We start from the raw sequence: 27,536 nt of genomic DNA on the forward strand, positions 1-27,536 counted from the left end.
ATCCACGTTTCATCCTTTTATGGTTTGAGGGACATTGCTTTTCAAAGCCTGATGTATACAGTTTATTAAAATAAAACCTTTTCCACACAAGACGAAAGAACAAAGCTTGGGAAGTGGATGCTCACGGTTTGTCGGAGGCGGCACCGCGCAGTTGTTGCAACCACGGGCTCTGGGCAGGCTGACTGTGTTTGAACACTGCCTCTACTGCTTCCCAACTACAGGACCAGTGGCCAGGCCACAATTTTCTCATCTGCAAATAGGGAGAGTGGCAGGACCTACTTCATAGGCTGTTTGAGGCTTAAGTGAGTCAATATTTTTAAAGCATGTGGAATAGAGCATGATACAAAATAAGTGCTATATAAAGACTCAATAAATAGATTTGGTTGAAAGACATATGAGAAAGCACTTTGAAAAGAGTCGGAAACTGATCTAATAACTTGATATGTGATGTGGGAAAATCATTGCATCCTGCCATGTCAGCGTATTTAGCTGTGAACTGGGCAGAGAGTTGCAGTTACCGAAAGCATGCCCGTGTATTCGTTGGTGTTCTTTAAAGAATATTATACTGCTCTGATAGTGGAACTTTGTAGTTGCCCAGAGGTCATTTGCTCCCTAAAAACTTAGCAAGGGGCCGGGCGCAGTGGCTCACGCCTGTAATCCCACCACTTTAGGAGGCTGAGGCGGGTGGATCATGAGGTCAGGAGATTGAGAATCTTGGCTAACATGGTGAAACCTCGTCTTTACTAAAAATATTAAAAAAAATTAGCCAGGCATGGTGGTAGGTGCCCGTAGTTCTAGCTACTCAGGAGGCTGAGGCAGGAGAATGGAGTGAACCTGGGAGGCGGAGGTTGCAGTGACCCGAGATCACGCCACTGCACTCAGCCTGGGCGACAGGGCGAGACTCCGTCTAAAAAAAAAAAAAAAAAAGTAGCAAGGAAAGTAAGCAGGCTACAATGGAACTAATACGCAATATTGCAAGTGGGAAAGGACATTCGTATTCAAACCACATCCCTCTGCCCTGGTAAAAGTGAAATGGTTTCAAACGGCTTTGCAGCTACCTTCAGATGGAGGTGGTCTGCAGGTGCAGGCAGTGTCCACAGGCACAGGGATTTAACCCTTTCCAGAATCTCTCTTCTCCCATCCCTTAAACCATGTGCTGCTTTAGAAAGCAGGGCATTTGTATGACATTGAGTAGCTTGCAGAACCTGTTTTTTCCCATCCCAAATGATAGTATTCTAGAATGTACATTGTTTTAATGGCACACAATTGTTGCTGGAGCCACAGAGATTTTACAATGGGATGAACAATGTTGCTCCCATCTTAGTTAAATTTGTGAAACACTATTTGATTGAATGCATTTATAATATTAAAGATTCATAATATCTTGCAGGAGAACACAAATATCTAAGTGAACATTTGTGACCTTTGTAAAATCCACAGAAAAGCAACATTAAAATTTAATGTAAACCATCCCAAATGAAGGGGTTTTTGTTTTGTTTTGTTTTTGTTTCATTTTGTCTTTGTTTTGTTTTGTTTTTGAGATGGAGTCTCGCTGTGTCTCACATGCTGGAGTGCAGTGGTGTGATCTCAGTTCACTGCAACCTCTGTCTCCTGGGTTGCAGTGATTCTCCTACCTCAGCCTTGCGAGTAGCTGGGATTACAGGTGCGTGCCACCACGCCCAGCTAATTTTTTGTATTTTTCGTAGAGATGGGGTTTCACCATGTTGGCCAGGCTGGTCTCGAACTCCTGACCTCAAGTGATCCGCCCGTCTCGGCCTCCCAAAGTGCTGGAATTACAAATGTGAGCCACGGTGCTTGGCCCCCAATTGAAGGTTTTTAGAGCAATATCTGTGTCGTCACATTGGCTACGGATATCCATTTTGATTACTGGTTCACCTGTTAAGGTCCCTGCTATGATGCAATCAATGTGACATTCTAATTGGCATTGTAGATGGAACTGTCTACAATGGTTATACTATAATGTTCAAGAAATATGCCCGAAGGCAGTAAAGATTCAACTACTCACCAAGGACTTAGGCCGCATTTACTCGGTGTTGCGGGTGGGAATGCACAGTCAATGGGAACAGCATCCCCCGTTCAAAAAGCCGGCCATTCAGGAGAGGTGACAGACACACATAGGAGGTTGAGGAACGCCATCCTGTAAGCTCTAGGAAGAGCAGGAGCTCTACAGAAGCAGAGGCAGAAAGACACTCGGGCTGGTCAAGCAGCTGAGTCCCAGTGACTGTAGCTACAGATGCCATTGATGATGATGATGATGGTGATGATGATGATGATGATGGTGATGATGACGTGAAGGCAGGCCTGTGGGGTGCGGGGGCTTGGCTGGCAGGACTTGTTTCCCTGGCTTGGCTGGTTGCTCGGCGGCGGGAAGAGGAGGTGAGGGCTGAGTGGAGATGCAACTGATAATGGGGTTCTGCCAGGAAGAGCCCGAGAAAAGCCCCGGCAGGTGGGTGTCTCAGTTTCTTCTCTTTCATTTCTGTCCCAGGGCGGTTCCCCTCCCCTTCCCATGCCTTCCCTTCTTTAGTCGCTGTGGAGCCCCCATTCATGAATGAAGTTACCAAGTGTCTCTTCCATGCCACACACTGTGTGTTTCATAGGTATACAAACACTGTGTGTTTCATAGGTATACAAAAAATTTCATTTCATCCTCAGATGTGCTGGGCATTCTTGAAATTTCAGGAAACCAGCCAAAAATCACAATATCATCTGTTTAACCTCCTTCCTCCAGCACCCTTGTGCCCATAATGAAATACATGCCCACATGCCTCTGCTCTGCTTCCATGAAATTGTGTGCAACTCCCAAGAAATGACCATATCCTAAAATCAACTTTCATATAGACCAAAAACTCATTGAAACATCGAGATGATTATAATAATGACCAATCTCATATAGGGTTTTTCCAAACAAATTTATTTATCCAAGTGTAGATTTAGAGTATATGAATTAGATACGTGTGCGTTAATCCTACGTCGAGGGAAATTTAGTCACCAATTCCCCCTATTTTCGTCTGACTCCTTTTCTAGGAACTACGATAGCATATAATTTAGGAGTTGAAAAGAAATAATAGTGCATGAAGAATACAGTTCCCAAAATGAATAGACGGATCTGTCATTTTCAGTATAGTGCATTTAGAAGAATAGATGGTTTGACTTTTAACCATTTTGGTATCTTATTGCTCTTACCACTGGCAGAGCAAAGTCAGAGTCTGCATTGGCAGAGGACAGCATTTTACTTGAAAATTCTCTAAAAACAGTGTTCTCTGCTTATGTAGACCTAGTTGCTTCTGTGAAACTCCCTGACGGTGGTATCTGGTCAGAAGATGCCTCACCGGGGTAAGCCGGTGGAATTTCTCGCAGAATGAGGTTGTCCTCATCAGTTGAAGCAAAATCTCCTCTTGCCGAGTGCCTCTGTTTTCTCTGAGTTTGAGTTCAGAGCAATTTTTTAACGCACTGGAGGGAGCCAGGCAGACGGTGAGGCCCAGCAGCAAGGAATGCGATGGAATGCAGCTCCGAGCTGCTAGGGTACTGTTTCTTTTTTACAATTTTAACTTTAACTTTTATAGATTTGCTACCCTTTAGGCTCCCATAACGTATTTTCCTGTTAGTAAAGAAATTATTTCATTGTCTTATGATGGCTAGTTCCTCACACTCCATTGTGCACTGTTGGAAGGTATGATTGTGTCTTCTTCCATATCTGCCAGCCCAGCTGGGTGACGTTCCATGTGGGAGACACCGTCAGTCTGACGGGCGCCGCTCCTCCTCCCTGGTATTTACTCCGATCCCAGTTCCAACCTGAAGACCTTGGTTCCAGGGACACTCCACTGGGATGCATTTTGCTCATTTGTTTTCTTATATTTATTTATTTATTTTATTTATTTTTGAGACAGAGTCTCACTCTGTCACCCAGGCTGGAGTGCACTGGCGCAATCTTGGCTCACTGCAACCTCTGCCTCCAGCGTTCAAGCAATTCTCCTGCCTCAGCCTCCCAAGTAGCTGGGATTACAGGCGCCTACCACCATACCCAGCTAATTTTTCTATTTTTAGTTGAGACAGGGTTTCACCATGTTGACCAGGCTGATCTCAAACTCCTGACCTCAGGTGATCTGCCCATCTTGGCCTCCCAAAGTGCTGAGATTACAAGCATGAGCCACCGCGCCTGGACGGTTTTCTTATATTTAAAATGGAATGGAGTGTGTGTGTGTGTGTGTGTGTGTGTGTGTGTACGTATGTGTGCTTGTTGATTCTGTTTCTCACATTTTATCACCAACTCTTAAAGGCAGGTGTGAAATCTTTTACTTTATATAATTGTGTGCATCTGGACACTCACAAATTATTTTTGTTGTTGTTTTTTAGAGATGGTTGGCAGGGTGGGGCACGGGAGTTTCACGATGCTGCCCAGGCTGGTCTCGAACTCCTGGCCTCAAGTGTTCTTCCCACCTAGGCCTCCCAAAGTGCTGGGATTACAGGCAGGAGCCACTGCACCCGGCCAGGAGTTCTTCACTGGCTAACACCGTCTGGAAGACAACTTACCTGCCAGTGGGTCTTTACAGAGAAATTTTGCGTTTTGTTCATTTTATTTCAAAATAATAAACATTTGGTATTTCTTTAATTAAAGTGAAGTTTTCACAATAGACTTCATTTTTTAAAAGCAAGCAAAATTTCTCAAATCTGCTGTGTATATTTTATGAAACTCTGCACCTTTCTTTCTTTTTTTTTTTTTTTTTTTGAGACGAAGTCTCGCTCTTGTCCCTCAAAGTGGAGTGCGGTGGCGCAATCTCGGCTCACTGCAACCTCTGCCTCCCGGGTTCAGGCAATTCTCCTGCCTCAGCCTCCTGAGGAGCTGGGATTACAGGCGCCTGCCACCACGCCTGGCTAATTTTTGTATTAGTAGAGACGAGGTTTCACCATGTTGGCCAGGCTGGTCTCCAACTCCTGACCTCAGGCAATCTACCTGCCTCGGCCTCCCAAAGTGCTGGGATTACAGGCATGAGCCACTGTGCCCGGCCTCTGCGCCTTTATTTCAATACATATTTACTTTGGTTAAGGCAGGCTGCTAGAAAACGTCCTGAAACCTGAAAGCCAGAATAAAGCCTATTTGGAAACCCGCTGACTCAATACACCATTCTCTTGCCACCAATTCCATAGCATTTCCCTGTCCCCCTGATTGGCCTGACAGGTGTGGTCTCTGTTCGGCCTCCTGGGTCCCATCCCACATGATGTCCGAGCTCTGAGTGCCCGGGCAGCTCATCCACACGAAGCCTTTGCTTCTCCTCTTTCCCCTGTGTTTTCTTTCCCATTAGTCCTTCTAAAGACAGGGTAGGGAGGGAAATTAAAGTGAGGTTGGGGAATATCTATGGATTCACTATTTCCAGACCCTAATTAACAGGTCATTTAGGACTTTTTGTCCACTCTATGCGTACCAGGCTCCAGGACCCTGATGCCGTCTTCCCGTCACGTGAGCCCATCCCTTAAAACAAATCTCCCTCTCTCTGTATATTTTCATTCCGTGGGCTCTATGTCCCTGGAGAACCCTGGCTAGTACGAGGTGGAATTGGACAGTATTTGTCTTTTGTGACCAGCTTTGTTCACGGAACAGAATATTTTCAAGATTCATCCAAGGTGTAGCCTGTATCAATATATCATTACATGTGTATCACATGTTGTTTATAGATTCGTCAGGGTGGACATTTGGGTTCCTTCCACCTTTCGGCTATTATGAATTGTCTCTTCTTTATCTAAGTCAATGTGGTGGTGGAAGGCATAGGTCGCCCAGTCCAGCCTGCTGCTGTCTTTGTTCTACAATTTTCACAAACCTCAATGAATGACTAATACTTTAAAGGGGAGATTTTACATCGAAATCCCACCTCTAGCTTCTCTCAGAGATGAGGCAGTGCCTGGCCAGGCCTGCCCTTCCTCAGGGCCATGCTGGGTCCCCGCTCTTGCCAGTGGTCCCTAGCTGCTTCTCATGGGGACCACACCCCTGAACCAGGAGGATTCGTATTTACCAAACTCAGCTGCCTCCTGCCCCTGGGGACTCAGCCTGGAGTGGAGGTGGGTGCGGGTGCTCACCAGGCAGGCATCTCTTCTGAGAGGTTGGAGGTCATACTCATCATTAAATATCTTTAACGTTATTTGGCTTAGAGCTTAATATAGTATTTTCTTTCTTCCTTTCCTCTTCCTTTTTTTATTACAAAATATTACTTTTCTAAAATTCCCATCATGGTTTAAAAATTCATATATCATTTAAGGACCATAGTTGGGATTGTAAAATGCAGACGAAACCCATGATTCTCCACAGACTTTTGAAACTCCACCACTCCGCGTGGCCTCCTTCCTGTTGCTCCAGCTCTTGGCATCCCTACCCGGCCAAACAGCTGTCCCCTACAAGTCTGAATGTACAGGCCAGGGAGAGTGCCGTGCGTTGGCTGCCCGAAGTGACGCCTTGGGTACAATCGTGCAACTGTGTGAGCTGGTGTAGAGCCCCTCGGCAAAATATCTGCTGCTGAGGACTGGGTGTGTGCGTGAGTGTGTGTGCACACATCTTTCCATGAGAAACTTTCACCAAAGCTTAGAGCCCTGTTTTGGACCAGGGAAGGGGAGGGCTGAGTGGCATGCATTGCTTTCTTGGGGGCCCTCTGGCTGCCTGGATGGCTCTCCACAAAAGAAGTGGGTTTATGAGAGGCAGGAGGCGGAGAGACACTGGTTTCCCTTTATTACTTGAAGAAAAAGGAAAACTCCTCACTGGAAGAATGACAGCTGTTGATATAAACAAGTGTTTTTGATAAAATCTATCCTCGTAGCCCAATAGAACAAAGGTGAGCGTTTTGCTAGGAAATGCCTTTTGGAGAAAAAAAGTTAGCACACACATGTTTGGATTACTTTATAAAAACATTCATTTATTTACTTGCTTGTTTTTAAATTGTGGTACGATGTAAAACCATTCCACCCCAATTCCCCTTCTCTCAGCCCCTCTCATCTACCGTCATCTACTTACCGTGGCTATGAATTTGTCTATTCTAGACGTTTCATCAGTGTGTGTGATGCATAATGTTATGTGTCATTAGCACTTAACTAACCCAACACTTGGTTGGGCCACAGCGTCCAGACATTTGGTTAAACATTATTATTGTGGATGTTTCTGTGAAGGTATTTTTTGGATGAGATTAACATTTCAATTAGTAGACTTGGAGTAAAGCGAATTCATCTCCACAGTGCAGATGAGCCTCGTCCGATCAGTTCACAGCTTGAGAGAAAAAGACTGGTCTCCCCAGAAGGACGTCTGCAGCTCTTCCCAGCGTCCCCAGCCTGTCCACCTGCCCCAGTCAATCATGGCCTTGCCCTCCTCCACAGTCACGTGAGCCCATTCCTTAAGACAAATCTCCCAGCTGGGCGCGGTGGCTGACGCCTGTAGTCCCAGCACTTTGGGAGGCCGAGGCGGGCAGATCACAAGGTCAGGAGATCGAGACCATCCTGGCTAACACGGTGAAACCCCGTCTCTACTAAAAATACAAAAAATTAGCCGGGCGTGGTGGCGGGCGCCTGCAGTCCCAGCTACTCAGGAGGCTGAGGCAGGAGAATGGCGTGAACACGGGAGGCGGAGCTTGCAGTGAGCCGAGATCGCACCACTGCACTCCAGCCTGGGCGACAGAGCGAGACTCCGTCTCAAAAAAACAAACACACACACACACACACACACACACACACACACACACACACACACACACAAATAAAACAAAACAAAAACAAATGTCCCTCTCTCCGTATATTTTCGTTTCGTGGGTTCTGTTTCCCTGGAGAACCCTGGCTAGTACGAGATGGAATTGGACAGTATTTGTCTTTTGTGACCAGCTTCGTTCACAGAACAGAATATTTTCAAGATTCATCCAAGGTGTAGCCTGTATCAGTATGTCATTACCTGGGTATCACATGTTGTTTATGGATTCGTCAGGGAGGACATTTGTGTTCCTTCCACCTTTCAGCTCTTATGAATCTAGTGCTGCTTCCAACATTAGTGCACAGGTTCCTCTCTCAGTCCCTCTTCTCAATTCTCTGGGTGAGGTGCTTCCTAGAGAGACCTGGTTCTTCTGAGTCGTCCCCGCAGCCCCTTGCCCTGGTTTGCATGTCAGGTTCTAATCGGGTAAACAATGGGGCTCTCGCTCAGATGTTCCCTTGACGGTCACCCTGGCCAGCACGTTGGCTTTAATTACATGGATTGATTTGTGAATTGTCATCTCACTGTTTCAGCAACTGTAAATATCGGCAGTGCTGTGTTTCCCTTTACCACGCTCTTTTGTGGGAAATTGACATGATCAATGTGTTCTCAAGGTCTGGTTTTTGCCAAAGCATCACATTTTTTCTGATAGAAATTTACTGTCCCCTTGGCAAGATCCATGTTATTGGAACATTTCCAGGAAGCCCTTTGGTGGCATGTGAGACCTGGCTCCGTGGCACTGGACAAATCTCCTGAAGCAGAAGTTTCAGTGGCTCCTGGAACAGCACCCCCCCTACGGGGAGCCAAGAACTCCCAGGAAGGGGGGGTGGGGGTTGGGATGCACAAGCCACCAGCTCTGTCGGCTCTGGAGTGACACTAAGAGAAGAAAGACGAAGACAGTAGCTCTCGTCTCAATGCGTGTTCATCACATTTGTCACTAGGAGACCCCATTTCAGTGCGTTCGGTGATCAGAAAGATTGTATCTTTGCTAATGTGCTGATATTCACGGGCTGCACATCTGGCAGAAGGGGAGAGAGCAAGACCTCTGGGACGCTGTTATCTTGGCTGGAGTCCAGACCCCATTCTGATGTCTTGAGCAGATGACTTAACTTCTTCAGCCTCAGTTTCCTCTTTGTGACATTGGAATGATGCTGTTACCCACTTCTTAAGGACGTTATAAAATAACAGCACGTAAGAGCTGCTTTAAACTATGAAGAACTTTGTAAATGGTGGTAAGGTTTTATTTAATAGGAAGAGAATATGAGCAGAGAAAACTTTATTCATTTTTAAGATATAAAATGTGTGGAAAATTACAGTGAATAGATTTTATAACACATCCTTTTTCTCTGTGTTCACTGCAGATTTTCACATAATTTTTAAAAAATCACCATATGTCGGCCAGGCGCAGTGGCTCACGCCTGTAATCCTAGCACTTTGGGAGGCCGAGGCGGGCGGATTACAAGGTCAAGAGATGGAGACCATCCTGGCTAACACGGTGAAACCCCGTCTCTACAAAAAACACAAAACTTAGCCAGGCGTGGTGGCGGGTGCCTGTAGTCCCAGCTACTCAGGAGGCAGAGGCAGGAGAATGGCATGAACCTGGGAGGCGGAGCTTGCAGTGAGCCGAGATCGTGCCACTGCACTCCAGCCTGGGCGACAGAGCGAGACTCCTTCTCAAAAAAAAAAAAAAAGAAAATCACCCATATGTCTGGAAATCTTGCCTTAAAGTAGGTCTTTTTAAAAAATACTATTAGGTTGCCTGTAATCCCAGCACTTTGGGAGGCCGAGGCGGGCGGATCACGAGGTCAGGAGATCGAAACCATCCTGGCTAACACGGTGAAACCCCATCTGTACTAAAAATACAAAAAATTAGCCAGGCTTGGTGGCGGGTGCCTGTAGTCCCAGCTACTTGGGAGGCTGAGGCAGGAGAATGACATGAACCCGGGAGGCGGAGCCTGCAGTGAGCCGAGATTGCACCACTGCACTCCAGCCTGGGTGACAGAGTGAGACTGTCTCCAAAAAAAAAAAGATACTATTAGGTTGAACCACATAAAATTACCACTTGTTCAGTCAAAAATGGTCAAATATAAGCAATTTCATGTGGTTTGTCTGGATATTTTTCTCAAAAAAAGTTTTAGTTGGAGATTGCATTCCTTAAAAAAATTGATATCAAATAAATGATATGTTCATGATTGAAACAGTATGTCATAAAAACAAAGCTGCAATAATTATTGATGCCTACACTAATTTTAAATAGTCAAATTATGCTCCATGTCATTGCATGTTAGAGCTGAGAAGCACCTAAGAGATCATTAATCTAACATTGTTTTTAAGATATGGAAATTGAGTCTCAAAGAGGTTAATCACACATACAGGACCAGAACTCATATTTCCTGATTTCTAATTCAGTACTTTCCCCCCCATTCTATACAGCCACGCTATACAACATGCATATGAAATAGCCTGATTGTACAAGAGCCCTAGTGTTCTGTCAGATTTGCATATAAAAAGATTCTAAGAAATCACAGTTCTACTATAGCGTAAATAAGACCTAAATGAAAATATTAGCTGTTGAAATATTAAACATGTACTTAATGCTTTTGCTCACCTCTTTACACTTCAGGGCATATATATGACAAGCGATTTGGACCAACTCTTTCATGGATGGTCTTCAAGTACCTTCCCAGGACTCTGCCTCCCAAGTCCCTGAAGCAACTTAGCCCCATTCACCCCACCACCAAAAATGTGAGGAAAAAAAGATGTGGCCAGGTGCGGGCTCACGCCTATAATCCCAGCACTTTGGGATGCCAAGGTGGCCGGATCACAAGGTCAGGGGTTTGAGACCAGCCTGGCCAACATGGTGAAACCCTGTCTCTACTGAAAATACAAAAATTAGCAGGTATGGTGGCACATGCCTGTAGTCTCAGCTACTCGGGAGGCTGAGGCAGGAGAATCGCTTGAACCTGGGAGGCGGAGGTTGCAGTGAGCCTAGACTGCGCCATTGCACTCCAGCCTAGGCAACAGAGCGAGACTCCATCCCCCCAAAAAAAAGAAGAAAAGATGTATCCTGGTCTTCTGCATAATGTGCACTGTCCATCTGTTGGACATGGACTGATCACGGTCATGTTCCTGCTGGTGAGGAGGTGCCAGAAGGACATGTGTAGGAGAGACAGTGAGCGTGTGCTACTCGGAGCTTAGGAAGGGCTGTTCGTTGAATTGAAATCTGAACATGTTGATCTCATTCTTACGTTTGTAGGGGGAATCCCAAATTGTCAGCAACCCATCACTCCCAGGCAAAATCCAAACTGCTGGGCTGTCCCCTTGGACTGATTTGTGTGCTGGCTTTTGGGGACAGCTATCCTCTGCACAGTGGACACCAGGCTCTGTTAAGCTGACCTCTAATGTGCCTTGAGGTTGGTTACCTTGGTGAGTTCACTGTCCTCCCAGAGTTGGAGAAACCCTCCAAGGCGAGTTAAACTGGGTGGGTGATTGGCCCCAAACCGGAGGGTTAAATAACAGAAGTTATGCTGGAGTCAGGCTTGGAGGATTTGGCTTCATGATGTGCAGATTTTTTTTTTTTTTTTGAGGCGGAGTCTCACTCTTGTCGCCCAGGCTGGAGTTTAGTGGTGCAATTTTGGCTGACTGCAACCTCCACTTCCCGGATTCAAGAAATTCCTGTCTCAGCCTCCCAGGTAGCTGGGATTACAGGCACCTGCCTCAGCACCTGGCTAAATTTTGTATTTTTAGTGGAGACAGGGTTTCACCATGTTGGCCAGGCTGGTCTCGAACTCCTGACTTCAGGTGATCCACCCTCCTGGGCCTCCCAAAGTGCTGGGATTATAGGCGTGAGTCACCGTGCCTGGCCTCCGTGCAGAATTTCAGGTGGCGTCAGGGCTGTGGTCATGACAGAGACACATAGAAGTGGAAAATCAGTCCCTTCGTTACCTGCTACCTCCTCAAGGCACCCACGGCTCTCTTTATGTGTTAGAGCATTTGGCCTATGTTTTGAGTATATAGCTCTGTTTCATTTCTTTGGCTGGGAGCCTCCTTTGGGCAGGCAGAGTGTATTTTTTTCTCTTTGGGTCCCCTGTTCCTATTACATAGGAGACATTCATTGAAACTGTGGAATGAGTGAATGGATGAATGAATGTGTATGTGCTCCGACTAGGACTTTGTTTGATGAATAGGCAGGGTGGACTTATGTAATATGATTTGAGTGGCATCATCTGCCACCAATTTGTGGAATGACGTTATTAATCATTCATCTGGTTGGATGAAAGGCTTCTTCCTGGCTGGCATGGCTTTTGAAATGTAGCACCCTGCAGGGGTAGAGTAGGGCAAACCTCTGAAGTCATTACCACCCATTAGCAGCTGAGTGTGAATTGGTTAATCAGCTCACTTCCCTCCTGGGGGCTCCCTGAGAGCAGGCCTGGAGGGCCCTGTGGGTCTGGGCTGGTGCAGAAGAGGCAGGGGGGTTTCAGGGCTGGGTGGGCTAAGTGTCAGGAAAAGACCTTCGGAGAGAAGAAGCAAGGAACTTAGAGGGGAAGGGGGCTCCAACAAACTCCTCCCAGCTTTTCCAGGAAGGCTGCCCCGGGGCCTCTAATAGGTGAGCTGGGACCTAAGACGCCCACCACCCCCAAGGTCAGGGGGATTCCTTTGTGTGTGTGCATTTGCCTTTCTACTTATTCTTCTTAAAGAAATTACCCATAAGCTGCCTAACAGTGCCTGATCTACAGAACACTCAATAAATGTTGAAAAACAGCAAAATGTGGAAAGCATGGTTTTGCAAACCAACCCTGACTCTCTCAAGAGTCAATAGGATGACGCTGGGCCAGTAGCTTCCTCTCTTGGGTTCTTTCTTCAGCATCAATTGCTGATCAGACCATGGCTCTGATGGGGGCTCGTGTGCGCGCATGCATGTGCATGCAGGAAAGTGTGTGTGTGGGGGGGGGGAGTGCATGTGGTGCGTGGTGGGGGTGTGCATGCATGTGTATCTGTGTGTGTGCACACGGGTGCAAGTGTGTGTAGGGGGAGTCTCTGTGAGTTGGGCTATTTAAATGTTTAAGGAAATGATCAGTATCAGGGCAATGTTTTTGAATAGTTAAATGTGATTCAAGAAAACTGTTTTAAGAAAGAAATAAACGGTGCTATGACAACCCACAAGTTAAAAAGAGACCCGTATCTGGAAACAAGGGATAATGTGCCATGTTTTCCTGCAGGGCAAGCTGTGTCCCAGCCCCTGTGTTGGAAGACCTGAGCCACTGCAAACTGCTTTGGGGGCAGCTCAACCAAGGCACATCCACAGCGCAACATGCCCCACACAAGTCCAACAGCCCAACACTCCTTTCCAACGCATAGGCCTGTTTTCCGCAGAAGGCACACAACTCACACATGCTCCGTTTCCATTTTGCAACCTCACATCCGTAGGTTTTTCTAACATTGTTATTTCCCACAAATTGCATCTTTTGCGGCACATGATAAAACGAACTAGGTTAAGCTGAAATCGTGTAGCCACTTCCCATGGCCTGGTGAGGAAATCAGAGTGTGTTTTGCTTTGTATTCTATTCCCACCTCAAAGGCAGGATTAAAGTAGCACTGCTTGTCACGTCTCATTATGGAAATCGGTGTGGCCCTCACAGGGGCGCAGTCAGTTCGGGACTAGGAGCTGCTCTGAAGGTGTGACCTGCCTGCAGTCCAAGACCACAACCTGTCATTTCAGAGCAGGGAAGACCAGCCAAATCTCCCAGCAGTCTTAATCGTATTCACAAAAAAAAAAAAAAAAAAAAAAGGAGGCAGAGGGTCATGGGTTTCCCCATTCCGTAAACTGCTTGCGAAAATAGAATGGATTTCTCGCTTTGTTTGCTTTCTATTATCACATTGCATGGGCAGAAAGAGGCATGTTTTCTTCTGTTTTAAAATGTGCAAGAACCAGGGACACAGATCCCTGTTTCAAGAACATCTTCCAGATGGAAACGATTAGAATGCCCCCTCCTTACTTTCTTCATGCTCATCTCTTCTAATACGTTGGCTTTTCCTTGCCGGAAGTCAAGGAGCAAGCAGTAAGGAAGTGTATGCCTCTGCATTTGTTCTCTTAATTGTCACAAATAATTGGATTTTGGGAGAGAGACAGGAAGGGTCGAGGTGGGGCTACCTTATGTGAGGAGGCAGGAAGAGTTGTCCCAGGATGTTGCATTGCTCTGTTTTGTTTGTTTCTTTCTTTCTTTTAGAGCTCTGAGGGTGAATTTGATTCTTCTGTATTTTTTTTCCTTTTTTGGTGAGCTTCGTTTGGGGTTTTCCACGCTATCATTATTACGAACAATGAACCAGGGGAAGAAGGGTAGGGAGGAAAAGGTTTACTGGAAATAATTACGAGGCTGCTGCACAAATCAGGAGACAGGATGGTATAGAATTTTATTTCATTCTGTCTCCCTGCACTTGAGTCTCAAGTATGCTTCCCATAACGATGCAATTAATCTTGACATATAAAGACTGACCAGAATTCTAAACCTTAGGAAAACACACCTCAGCAAAATTCTACATGATGTTAACATAAAAAGCATGAGACAAGAAGGGAATTTAAATGATTAAAAATAATTGTAATGTAATTTCACTGCGTTCATCCATACCATTGCATTTCTTGAGCCGTTTTTACCTAATGCTGCTCCGAGAGAGAAGAGCATCTGAAAGCGGAGTCTGCATCGGGGTTGTCTCTCTGTTTATTTCTTCCACTCCCCTGTCTTCAAGGCTCTTCCAAGAATGGACCTCACAGTCTCCTTCAGTCATTCACTCAAAGACGTAACCATCCTCTGGGCTAGGAAATGCATCCTTGCAGCTCTCTCAAGCTGTTTACTCTCCACTCTTCCGACCTCTCTTCAGAATGACATTTCTCAGAGAGCAAAGTCCCTCTCATTTGCCTGGGAAATCTGCGATGCATTATCTAATACAGCTCATCCTCTAATAGATACTGATAGAAATCGATTTAAACCTTTACAACTCCTATTAATTATACACTTGAGATTTCAATAGCTGGTGAACGAAAACTTCACTAATATCCCGTAATCAGGCAGAGCGAGACAGCGTGGTAGAAATTGTAAATGTATATCAAGCCAGTATACGGAAGAAATGATCCAACATGTGTGTACAAAGGGTAAAACCGTGAGTGTGTGTGTGAGCGAGGCCAGCTGTGAAGCTCTGGCCTGCCTCCGTACCACTCCAGCTGCAGCTTAATGTGGTAACTAAGAGAGCAAAGCCCGCGAGGTTTCTCAAAAGACAGGTAGAACCCCAGACTGGGAGTTTCTTAGACATGAAAGGGCATCTTTTATTTTCTTCTTCTTCTTTTTTTGTTTTTTTTGAGATGGAATTTCTCTCTTGTTGCCCAGGCTGGAGTGCAATGGTGCAATCTCGGCTCACCGCAATCTCCGCCTTCCGGATTCAAGCAATTCTCCTGCCTCGGCCTGCCGAGTAGCTGGGATTACAGGGATGCACCACCAAGCCTGGCTAATTTTTTTTTTTTATAGTAGAGACGGGGTTTCTCCATGTTGATCAGGCTGGTCTTGAACTCCCGACCTCAGGTGATCCACCTGCCTCGGCCTCCCAAAGTGCTGAGATTGCACGCGTGAGCCAACGCGCCTGGCCAAGGGCACCTTTACTTAAAGTTTTACTGGAATGCAGTTCATCCTTAGATTTGAGAGAATCCTGTGTGCGCATGTGCTGAGGCTTCCCAGAAAGATGCAAGGTCTGAAGTCACAAAACCTGTACTATCAGTGGTATGGCCGGACGGTTTGTGTCTCTCCACTCTCCCTGAACAGAGGGTCACGTTAGCGGGTCTTTGTCCTCAGGCAGGGGTCGGGTCGGAATGATGTCATCGGTGGGCTGTGCAGGGTCTCCTCCCAGATGAACACATTTCCTGGTTTCCCTTTACCGCCATCCCCTTCTGACACCGGCAGCCGTGCTCCTGAGTGCCTTTTTGTTCCTGTGTTTTCTGGAAAAGTGTATGGTTTTGTGTTGGAGTGTTTTTTATCAGTGTAAATGGTATTGTGTTGCACATTTTATTTTGCTTCCTGTTCATTCACTCCGGATTGTGCCCTTGGGGTCCACCCCTTCTGAACGTGTACACATATGACTTGTCGCTTGCTAGGAGTGCCCCGGTACTGATCCTTTCCAAAATGACCGCTCTGTCCTTCCAGAGTGGACACGCAGGGTGCTTCTAACTCCCTACTACCAAAGGCACTCGGGTAAATACCCTCGCTCCATGAACAGCCTTGTGGAGGCCTCTGTGGAAATGCGTGCTCTGAAATGCACTGCTCTGAAACACGCCTTTGGTCATGGGGTGAGTGTGTGCTTCACATACCTCGGATGGCTGGTGGTGCGTCAGGGTGGAGCCACCAACTGCCCACTCAGAAACAGACCCGGGCCGGTCCAGGATCACGTATCCTACATAAAGGAGGCTTCCTCGGGCAGTGGGAAAACCTCAAGCCATCCCTGAGCCTTCTGTCCTATCCCATTTGACCTTTGGTTCTTGTAGCAATCACAATCACAATCCAAGACTGATTTGGGATTTGATTTGGGATTTTACGTAATATTTGGCAGAGAAAACCCCCTCATGACGTTTCTTTAGGGTTGACTTACTGTTTCATGAACATTGATTTTTTTCATAAGTTCCTTAAGTGAATCCGACTTGAAGGTTGATTGATATTGCACTGAATTTGTAGACTAATTTGAGGACAATTGAAGCCATTGAGAAAACTAAGTTGTCCCATGCAAGATGGGATTTGTTCGGATCATTTACCTCTTTAGTCTTTTTTTACTTTTTAACTTTGCATTTTGAAATAACTTCCAACCTTACTAAAAAGTTGCAAAAGGCTGGGCGCAGTGGCTCAGGCCTGTAATCTCAGCACTTTGGGAAGCCGAGGCGGGTGGATCACAAGGTCAGGAGATCGAGACCATCCTGGCTAACACGGTGAAACCCCGTCTCTACTAAAAATACAAAAAATTAGCCGGGCGCGGTGGCGGGCGCCTGTAGTCCCAGATACTTGGGAGGCTGAGGCAGGAGAATGGCGTGAACCCGGGAGGCGGAGCTTGCAGCGAGCCGAGATCGCGCCACTGCACTCCAGCCTGGGCGACAGAGCGAGACTCCGTCTCAACAACAACAACAAAAAAAGTGCAAAAGTAGAACAAAAAAGTTTCTCATATGCCCTTCACCCAGCTTCCCCAAATGTCACCGGCTTAAATGCAGCTTAGGGATCAAAATCAGGGCATCAGCGCTGATGCGACGCTCTTCACGAATCCGCAGGCAGTGTTCACGTTTCACCAGCTGTCCCCTTCACACCTTCTTCTGGTCCCAGACCCGATCCAGGACCACACATTGCCCTTAGTGATCATGGCTTCTGCATCTGGGATGGTTTCTCGGTGTTTCTGTGCCTTTCATGAGCTTAACACCATGGACGGATATACTAACTGAAGAAACAATGGCTGGCCTGTTATTTTGTAGGATGTCTCCCTTTGGGAGTTTTTCTGATGTTTCTTCATGATTGAATTCAGGTTGTACATTCTTGACAAGATTACCGCATAACTATGCTTGACCAGTAAAATAGTGAATGCCCAGGTATCACATGAGACATACTCATACCAAAAATGTATTCACTGTTCATCTGAAATTCAGATGTAACTGGGCTTTCCCTATTTTTCCTTTGGCAAATCTGGGAGGCCTACATATATGTGATTCTATGTCCTGCTCTGGGCATCATTTAAGGAGAACATAATTTTGACAACTCTCATCTAGTTTGATCAGTTGGTTAGGGTGACGTCTGCCATGTTTCTTTTAAATTGATGCCTATTTTCTCTGGAGAGAGAGTTTGTGTTTAAATAAATATCCAGTATCTCATCATATTTTGCCCACTAATTTAGCACTGGTTGATGATTTCTTGCCTGCAACAATTATTAAAGTAGTGTTTGCAAAATGGGGTCTTGAGGCAGCTATCATGTCCTCCGTATTCATTAATTGTGACACTACTATAAGGAAGAGCTGTGGATTCTCCTCCATTATGTATTCAATTATATTTTATGTTGGTAGGAAGGCATGGATATTAATGTTATTGGATGGGAAATAATCCATTACTGCCATTATTTATTAAATAGCAGTTTCTGAAATTGTTCCAGGTTTGGCCATGTGAGAGGGCTCTGGCATCCTTTGATGTGCCATCGTTATTCTCCGAGCACTTCCCTACTTTCTGGCACTACGACCTGTTCCAGCCCCTCTTGGGCTCCACCTACCCAGCCCTGGAACCAGCCCTGGAATCAGCCCTTTCCCTGTTCCTTTAATCGAAGAATGGTATTTAGAAGCCAAGATCTAGCTTCAAGGATGCACTCTTCCTCGAGAATTGTCATTCTCATTATTAATTTTACTTTTAAACTTTTCATTTTTAGTTGTACATGGCAAGTATAGAGAAATACTATTTTATTTTATATTTCACAACATAATTAAAGCTTCTACCTTGTACCGATATCTAATATACTTGATTTTTAGATGGCCAGTCATACAAGTGCAATTAGGTCTTATTACTTTCCTCCCACTAACATTTATTTTTATTTTCTTTCATTATAGTATTGACCAAGGCTGCTATGACTACATTAAAATGTAGACATGATAGTGGGTATTCTTATATTCTTATATTATGCCAGAAAGTATTCTTATATACCCACAATCATGTCTACATAGGGGGGGGATAGGGGACCTCAACTTAAAGAGAACAAAGCTAAAGTTGTTTGTTTATGTTTAAATGCTTCAGATTTTTTATCTGAAACTTTGCTAAGTAAATTTCTTCTATGATCTAGGTTGCTGAGATGTCTTTCATTTTTAAGTCATAAATGAGCATTGGCCTTCTTAAATAACTTTTCTTGCATTGTTGACTTTTTGAGAAGATCATCTAATTTTTTTGTTACAATCAGTTAATTGGAGAAAGGCATTGATTACTTTTCTGATATTCATCCATCTTTGCACTCCTGGAATAGCCCTTCTTGGTAATGATTTATTCTTTTTAAAATATAATATTGTAATCTCTTGATTAATATTACTCTATATGTAGGATTTTTGAAACTGTACTTTCTGTTTTTACATTGCCTTTATCTTATTTTGAAATCAAGATGACACTAGCTTCATATAAAATAGCTAGGCAATTTTTTATTGTTTATATATTCTAATAAAAATTCTACAGGAGAAGACAACTATTTCTTAAAAGTTTGGCAGACCATGGAAACACAATTAGAACTAATAAACAAATTAAGCAATGTTGTGGGATATAAGATCAATGTACAAAATCATTGTATTTCTATATATAAGCAATAGGCGATCTGAAAATTAAATTTAAAACAATACCATTTACAAAGGCCTCAACAAGAATAACATACTTAGGAATACATTTAAAAATGAAAGTGCAAGACATGTACATTGAAAACTACAAATTATTGTTGAAAATAAATTTTAAAAGACCTAAAAATATGGTAAGACACCCTATGTCCATGGACAGAAAGACTTGATGTTAAAATGGAAATACTCTCAAAAGTCATCCACAGATTTACTGCAATCCCTCTCAGGATACTAGCTGACTTTTTGCAGAAATCGGCAAGCTGATCTTAAAATTTGTATGAAAATGAAAGGGACCCAGAATAGTCAAAACAATCTTGAAAAAGAACAAAGTTGGAAGACTCCTATTTCTGATTTTAAAACTTACTACAAGGCTAAGGTAGTCAATACAGTGTGGTACTGGCATAAGGGAAGACACATGGATAAATGGAATAGAATTGAGAGTCCAAAAACAAAACCTAACATTTACGGTCAATTGATTTTTGACCAAAGAGTTAATATACTTCAATGGGGAAAGAATAATTTTTTCAACAAATGGTGGGGAGACAACTGGATATTCGCAGGGAAAAGAATGAAATTAGACCCCTATCTCACACTATACACAACAGTTAACTCAAAGTGGGTCACAGACCTAAATAAATGTAAAAGCTAAACCTATAAAACTCTTCAGAGAAAACGGAAATAAATCTTTGTGATGTTGGGTTAGGCACTGATTTCTCAGGTATAACACCAATATCACAAGTGACCAAAGAGAGATTGGTAAATTGGACTCTATCAAAATCAAAAAAATTCAGTGCTTCAAAAAAGATGCCATCCTAAAAATGAAAAGACAACACACAGACTGGGAGAACATATTGGTAAATCATATATTTGATAAGTCAATTGTATCCAAAACATATAGCCGGGCCAGGCACAGTGGCTCACGCCTGTAATCCCAGCACTTTGGGAAGCCGAGGCAGGTGGATCACAAGGTCAGGAGATCGAGAACCATCCTAGCTAACACGGTGAAACCCTGTCTCTGCTAAAAATACAAAAAATTAGCCAGGTGTGCTGGTGTGTGCCTGTAGTCCCAGCTAATCAGGAGGCTGAGGCAAGAGAATCGCTTGAACCCAGGAGACGGAGGTTGCAGTGAGCTGAGATTGCGCCACTGCACTCCAGCCTGGGCGACAGAGTGAGACTCCATCTCAGAAACAAACAAACAAAAACATACAGTGAACTCTTACAGCTCAATAATAGAAAGACAACCAATTTAAACATGGACAAAGGATTTACATAGACATTTATTTAAGGTAGATGTATCAACAGCCAACAAGTACATGAAAAGAAACTGACCATTATTAGTCACTAGAGAAATGCAAATAAAAACTATAATGAATTAGCTGGACATGGGGTTTTGCGCCTGTAATCCCAGCTACTTGGGAGACTAAGGAGAGGGGATGGATTGAGCCCAGGAGTTTAAAGCTGCAGTGAGCTCTGAGCCACCGCACTCTAGCCTGGGCAGCAGTGAGACCCTGACTTAAAAACAAAAACAAAAACAAAGCAAGAAAACCCCACCATAATGAAATACTACTTTATACCTACCAGAATGGCTTTGATGAAAGAAATAGACAATAATGAGTGCTGGCAAGGATGTGAAGAAATTGGAACACACATGTGTTTTTGGTAGGGATAAAAATGGTGCAGCCAATTTGGAAAACACATCAGCAGTTCCTCAAAATGTTAAACATAGGGTTATTAGATGACCCAGCAATTGTATTCCTAGGTATATACTAAAGAGAAATTAAAAAAAAAACATGTACACACAAAAATTTATACACAAATATTCATAACGGCATTGTTCATAATAGCCAAAAGGTGAAAAGAATCCAAATGTTCATCACCCAGTGAATGGGCAATATGGATAACATGGTGTATCCACAAGATGGAATGCTACTTGGCCTTGAAGACACTGCGCCAAGTGATGAAGCCAGACACAAAGGACCTACATTGTGCTCAGCGTGGTGGGTCACACTTGTAATCCCAACACTTTGGGACACAGAGGAGGGAGAATTGCTTAAGGCCAGGAGTTTGAAACCAGCCTGGGTAACATAATGACACCTTGTCCATACAAAAAATTTAAAAATTAACCACACACAGTGGCACACACCTGTAGTCCCAGCTACTCAGGAGGCTGAAGTGGGAAGATCGCTTGAGCCTGGGAGTTTGATGTTGCAGTGAGCTATGATTGCACCACTGCACTCCAGCCTGGGTGACAGAGTGAGACCCTGTCTCTTAAACACACACACACACACACACACACACACACACAAAGTATGATACTATTTGTATGAAATGTTCACAATAGACAAATCTGTTGACACAAAAAGTCATTAGTGGTTGTGCAAGGCTAGGGGTGGGGAGGAGAGGTTGGGGAGGGAAATGGGAAGTGACTGCTAACATTGCACAACTCAAAATATACAAAAGCCGTTGAGCGGTATGCATTAAGTGGGCGAACTTTATGGCATGTAAATTACATCGCATAAGAGCTGTACTGTTTGGTAACATTCCCTTGTAAAGCTATCTGTGGCTGAGATGTTTTGAAAAGGGGAGATCTTTAATGCTCATTTCAATTATTTAAACACCTTTTGGTCTATTTATTTCCCATGTTTCTCTCTGTGTGAAATTTGGCATTTTTTCTTTATATGGCTTTTCAAAGTTCTTAGCAGTTGTTCACAGTGGCCTTTTTAATACCTTGGGCCCAAAGACATTCCCCTATTTCCTAGTGCATCTTGAGCTCTGGGTCATCTCTCTTCCTGTCTTCTTCTGTCTGGCTAGAAATCTCTCCCATTAATTTGTTCCAATAACCAGCCTTTGCTTTTTAAATCTCCTTTAGTATTTTTGTTGCCTGTATCGTTGAATTACATCTTCATGTTCATTGTCTTCTCTTTTATTTAGTTTTGCTGTGTTGTTCCCTTTTCAGCTTCTTAAATTGAATAATTGGCTTATTTAAGTGCAATTTCATTTCCTCATAAATGTATTCGAGGCTAGCAATTCCATCCATCCTAAGCACTGCTTTTATGATGTCTCACATTTTTTTATTGTATAGTGGTTTCATTATGACCTAGTTTTAAACATTAATTAACTTTCTTTTTAAGTAGTATGTTTTTGCTGTTTTGTTGTTTCCAAGCAAAGGGACTTTTAAAAAACCATCACTGTTTTAGACATTTCTTTTTGTCGCAGTATTGTTAGAGAGCCTAATCTGAACGGCACCGATCCTTTGTGGCCTAACGCATGGCCTATTTCTGCCAATGTCTCGCATGTGTGTTCACAAACACGTGCACTCTCTTAGGTCTGGAGTTCTTCTTATCTCTAATAGCTCCGGCATATTAATCATATTGTTTGGATCTTTGACATCCATGCTGAGCTTTTGTCTTCTTGCTCTGTCCATTTTTGAAAAAGATGTACTAACGTCTCCAACTACAATTACTGATTTAACTATTTCTCCCTGCCGTACTGTTGCCCGTGGCTCAGTGTGTGTTGAGGCTGTCACTGATGTTCATGAAGGACATCACTTCCAGCTCTCAGGCTGCCTTCATCAGTCTGTAATATCATCCTTTGGCCTCATGGTATTTTTTAGCCTTATATTCTCTTTTGTCCGATATTAAGATTACTACACCAACTTTCTTTAGGTTCATAGTTGCTTAATATAAACTTTCATTCTTTTTCTTTTTAACTTTTTTTTTTCATTTTGTCTTCCATGTGTTTCTTTAATATTCTTGTTTTTAACTCCAGGTTGACGGTATCTGTCTTTTAGTCGGTGGATTTAACCTATTTATGCTTATATTTACTCATATTTAAAAAACTTACTTCTGGTAGCTTATTATATTTTTAACTTACTGAACTTCTCATTTCTTCCTTTTTGTTTTTGTTCCTGATTTTAATTGTATAGATCAAGTTTTCTTCTGCTGGTTTAGAAGTTGTTTTTATACTTGTTATCCTTATCTTAAGATATAGTCTCATGTTTACTTATCCCTACTGACTTCTTGAACTTATTAATATCTGCATTTTTCTCCTAAGAGGAAAAGTACTTTATCATATTGTCATCTGCCTTTAATATTTTGATACTGCCCAGAATTTAAATTCTGGGTTTGCTTGAATAGTGAATATTACCAAAATATTTGGTTTTCATTAATTCTCTATCTCTTATAGCAATTTTCAGGGATCTGTTTCTCTCTTTTTTTTTTTTTTTTTTTTTTTTTTTTTTTTTTTTTTTTTTTTTGAGACAGGGTCTTATTCTACTGCAGCCCAGGCTGGATTGCAGTGGCACAATTAAAGCTCATTGTAGTCTCCACCTCCCAGGCTCGGTTGATCCTCCTGCCTCAGCCTCCCAGGTAGCTGGCACTACAGGTACACACCACCACGCCTAGCTAATTATTTTTTATTTTTTATAGAGATGGTGTTTCATCATGTTGTCCAGGCTGGTCTCAAACTCCTAGGCTCAAGTGATCCACCCACCTCAACTTCCCAAAGTGCTGGGATGACAGCTGTGAGCCACCGCACCTGCTGTGCTTCTCTTATTTTTATTGCTTTCCTCCAAAATGTTTTCTCACAAAAAATGAGTCTTTGTATGGCAAACCATTTGAGAGCTATGTGAGAGAGTACTTTTATTATACCTTCAAATTCGTATGACAGTTTGTCTAGAAATAATATTCTAGGTTCAAATTTCTTTTCCTTCAATTATTTAAAAATATGGCTCTATGGCTGGGCGCGGTGGCTCACACCTGTAACCCAGCACTTTGGGAGGCAGAGGCAGGTGGATCATGAGGTCAGGAGATCGAGACCATCCTGGCTAACACGGTGAAACCCCGTCTCTACTAAAAATACAAGAAAAATTTAGCCAGGCGTGGTGGCAGGCGCCTGTAGTCCCAGCTACTCAGGAGACTGAGGCAGGAGAATGGCATGAACCCGGGAGGCGGAGCTTGCAGTGAGCCGAGATCGCGCCACTGCACTCCAGCTTGGGCAACAGAGCGAGACTCTGTCTCAAAAAAAAAAAAAAAAAAAAAAAAAAAAAATATATATATATATATATATATGGCTGTACTGTTTTGCATTCAGTGTCGCTGTTGGGAAATCGAATGGCAGTCTGGGTCTTGTTCCTTTGCAGGTGAGCTGCTCTTTACTTATGGAAGCTCTTGGAATATTTTCTTTGCAATCGGTTATATTAAATTAACTACAATATGTCTAGGTATGGGTTTTTCCTTACCCCTGTCCTGTCTTTTTTATTCTATCAGCCTTTTTTTCCCCTCAGAAACATATCTTCATTAGTTTAAAAAATTTTCTCCTCTCGGATTTTGTCACTCTTTCTGGGATTCCTATCATCCCGATGTTGGCACTTCTTTGCTTGTTTTTTTTTTTGTCTGTTTGCTTTGTTTTTTGAGACGGAGTCTCACTCTGTTGCTCAGGCTGGAGTGCAGTGGCACAGTCTAGGTTCACTGCAGCCTCCGCCTCCCGGGTTCCGGTGATCCTCCTGCCTCAGCCTCCTGAGTAGCTGGGATTACAGGTGAGTCACCGCACCCAGCCCTGGATGTTGGCATTTCTATCCTCGTTTCCCTTAGCCTTTCTTTTCTATTTTGTATCTCTATCCTTTCCTTTTGCCTTATGGGAGAATTCCTCAATCTGATCTTTGGACTTTTCTGTCCATGCTTCAGCTGTTTCCACCTCACTGCTCAGCCTACTCATGGCTTCACATTGTTATTGTTTGTGGTTTTTGAAAACGTAGTTCTCAATTACAGCAACATTTTTAAGTGTATCAAAATAATAAATGCGGAACATAGTTTCCCAGTACATGAAAGTTTGCTATATTAAAATTTTTGAGCCAGGTGCGGTGGCTCATGCCTGTGATCCCAGCACTTTGGGAGGCCAAGGTGAGTGGATCACTTGAGGTCAGGAGTTCAAGACCAGCCTGACCGACATGGTGAAACCCCGTCTCTACTAAAAATACAAAATTAGCTTGGCGTGGTGGCACACGCCTGTAATCCCAGCTACTTGGGAGGCTGAGGCAGGAGAATCGCTTGAACCTGGGAGGCAGAGGTTGCAGTGAGCCAAGATCACCTCACTGCACTCCAGCCTGGGCTACAGATTCAGACTTTGTCAAAAACAAACAAACAAACAAACAAATAAATAAATAAGTTTTGAAGTCAGAAATTGACAAGCGAGACACCTTGAAGTCCGGTGTTACACTGGCTTTGGAATCGGTCTTTGCCCGTCGTGATACTACCTCTCTCATGACTTTTTGGTTGCAGGTGACAGAAACTCCATTTGCACCAGCTTACATTAAAAAAAGAGGAGGGAGAATATGGTCGAGTGACCCCAGGAGTGATAGGGAGCACTGACGGAGTTTCTCCCTGCTCTGGATAGCAGATCCGCTGGCTCCCAGCTTATGATCCATGAAGAGAACGTCTTCCCCTTGGGCTTCAATTTGAAGAATCCTGAAGACGACCCTGATGGCCTTTCGCGGTCCACGTGCCCCTTCTTGCACTACCGTGATGGTCCTATCCACGGACGCCTTCTCTTGGGTTCTGTGGTTGGATGCGGAGGAATCATCGATCCTCTGTAGTGGAAGGGAAGGGAGGACACACCAAGACCATGTGGCCCCAAGAGCCGTGAGAGGAGCAGAAGCCTGACTGGTGCCTCTTACATGTCACTGCAGCCTCGGGGGGGGCCACCAGGAAAACACCTGACATCCTGTTCTCTAGTAATGGTGTGGCTGGAATCATTCCTGTACCAAATAATTCACCCATTTAAAGTGTGCAATCCAACAATGATTGGTATACTCAGAGTTCTGCAACTCTCACCACAATCAATTTTGGAACATTTCTATCATCCCTAGCAATAAATACTATATCTTTTTTTTGTGTGTGTGAGACAGAGTGTCACTTTGTCACCCAGGCTGGAGTGCAATGGCGTGATCTCTGCTCCCTGCAACCTCCACCTCCCGGGTTCAAGCAATTCTCCTGCCTCAGCCTCCCAAGTAGCTAGCTGGGACTACAGGCACGCACCACCACACCTGGCTAATTTTTGTATTTTTAGTAGAGACAGGGTTTCATCATGTTGGCCAGGATGGTTTTGATCTCCTGACTTCATGATCCACTCGCCTCAGCCTCCCAAAGTGCTGGGACTACAGGCGTGAGCCACCACGCCCGGCCAGCAAATACCGTATCTGACTAGCACTTTCCATTTCCCTCCAACCCCCTAATGGTTTCTTTTCCCACAATAATCTAAATGTTTAAGGAACTGGTTTGCTAACTCATTTCTTAATGACAAGAATTAAGCCAGCACAGCCTCTGGTTTCTGACATTCTTTCCCTACAAAGTCATTCATCATTTATCCTTTTTTAAGGGACTTCCTTCATCTCTGTGCCTTAGGCTCACTTCCTGACTGTGGGGATCAGCTCCTCTCACCAATGGTGAGTAGGGAGTACCTGCCGTTAAACCTCTGTCACCACAGGAGAGAGATGCCATGGATGGATGATTTTCTCTCTGATTCTTGGCATTAGTTCATTGGGCAAAAATTCAGCTTCCAGTTAAGCACCGGCCCATGGACCGGGCTTGGTCCTGTTTCCCCTGGAAGCACTGCTGGGAAACCAAGCCCAGCCCTGCAGGGCTTCCTCCTGCTGCCGCCCACGCCAGGATCAGCCTCCTCTTGCCGCTGCAGCCCCGTCGCTGCACCGGTTTCATCGGTCTGAAGTCCAGCTGCTCCTCCTTGGCCTCTGCACCTCAGCACAGGCTACTGCCTCTGAGGGGCCGCCCAGCCGTCGTCCTCCTCACAACCTCCCATGATCGTGGCCCTGAGGTCACCTTTCCATTGGCGATGAACAATCCCATTGTCACTCCCCATGGGTGTGCCCACCGGAAGCTGCTCATGGGCAGGAGGGGAACTGTTCAAGCTGGTTTTTCCAGCCCCTACCACAGCGCTGGGTGTGTAGGTGGACAAGAAAGTCATTACGTATGTAAATGAGGAAGCGCATGAACACCTGAGCGTGTGAGAATTCGGTGGGGTGAATGCCACTCCAAATGTGTGTCAAATATGATGGGACTGAATGCAAATGAAAGTGGGTCAAGGAGATATTCAGAATAAAATGAGCAACTTTTCCTCATTATGTAGTCATTGCATAATTAAACGAAAAAAACATACTACAAAAGAGTAATAAAATGATAATATAACAACAACAATAATAATAGCTAACATTCATCAGACACTTTCTATGCCCCAGCCCAGCTTTAAACACTTTATATTCATTACTGTTTTTCATCTTCACACGTGCAATTATCATCCCAACTTGACAAGATGAGCTGTTGGAAAGCACGTGGTGTGCACGTGTGTGTGCATTGTGTGTATGAGTGTGACAACATCTAGAAGTGTCATCAGTCATGATAATCTCTATATAGCCCTTAGATAAGCTTG

At 44.1% G+C, this 27,536-nt stretch overlaps 1 long non-coding RNA gene across 1 annotated transcript in view; it reads left to right on the forward strand.

Moving 5' to 3' along the window:
* Window positions 1-27,228, forward strand: part of LINC00908 (long intergenic non-protein coding RNA 908) — a 31,173-nt gene extending 3,945 nt beyond the window's left edge. Inside the window, 1 exon segment of the long non-coding RNA NR_015417.1 lies at window positions 25,376-27,228. This is a non-coding gene — a long non-coding RNA (long intergenic non-protein coding RNA 908).
* The last annotated feature ends 308 nt before the right edge of the window (window positions 27,229-27,536 follow it).

Source organism: Homo sapiens, chromosome 18, assembly GCF_000001405.40.
Source record: "Homo sapiens chromosome 18, GRCh38.p14 Primary Assembly".
Taxonomy (NCBI): Eukaryota; Metazoa; Chordata; class Mammalia; order Primates; family Hominidae; genus Homo; species Homo sapiens.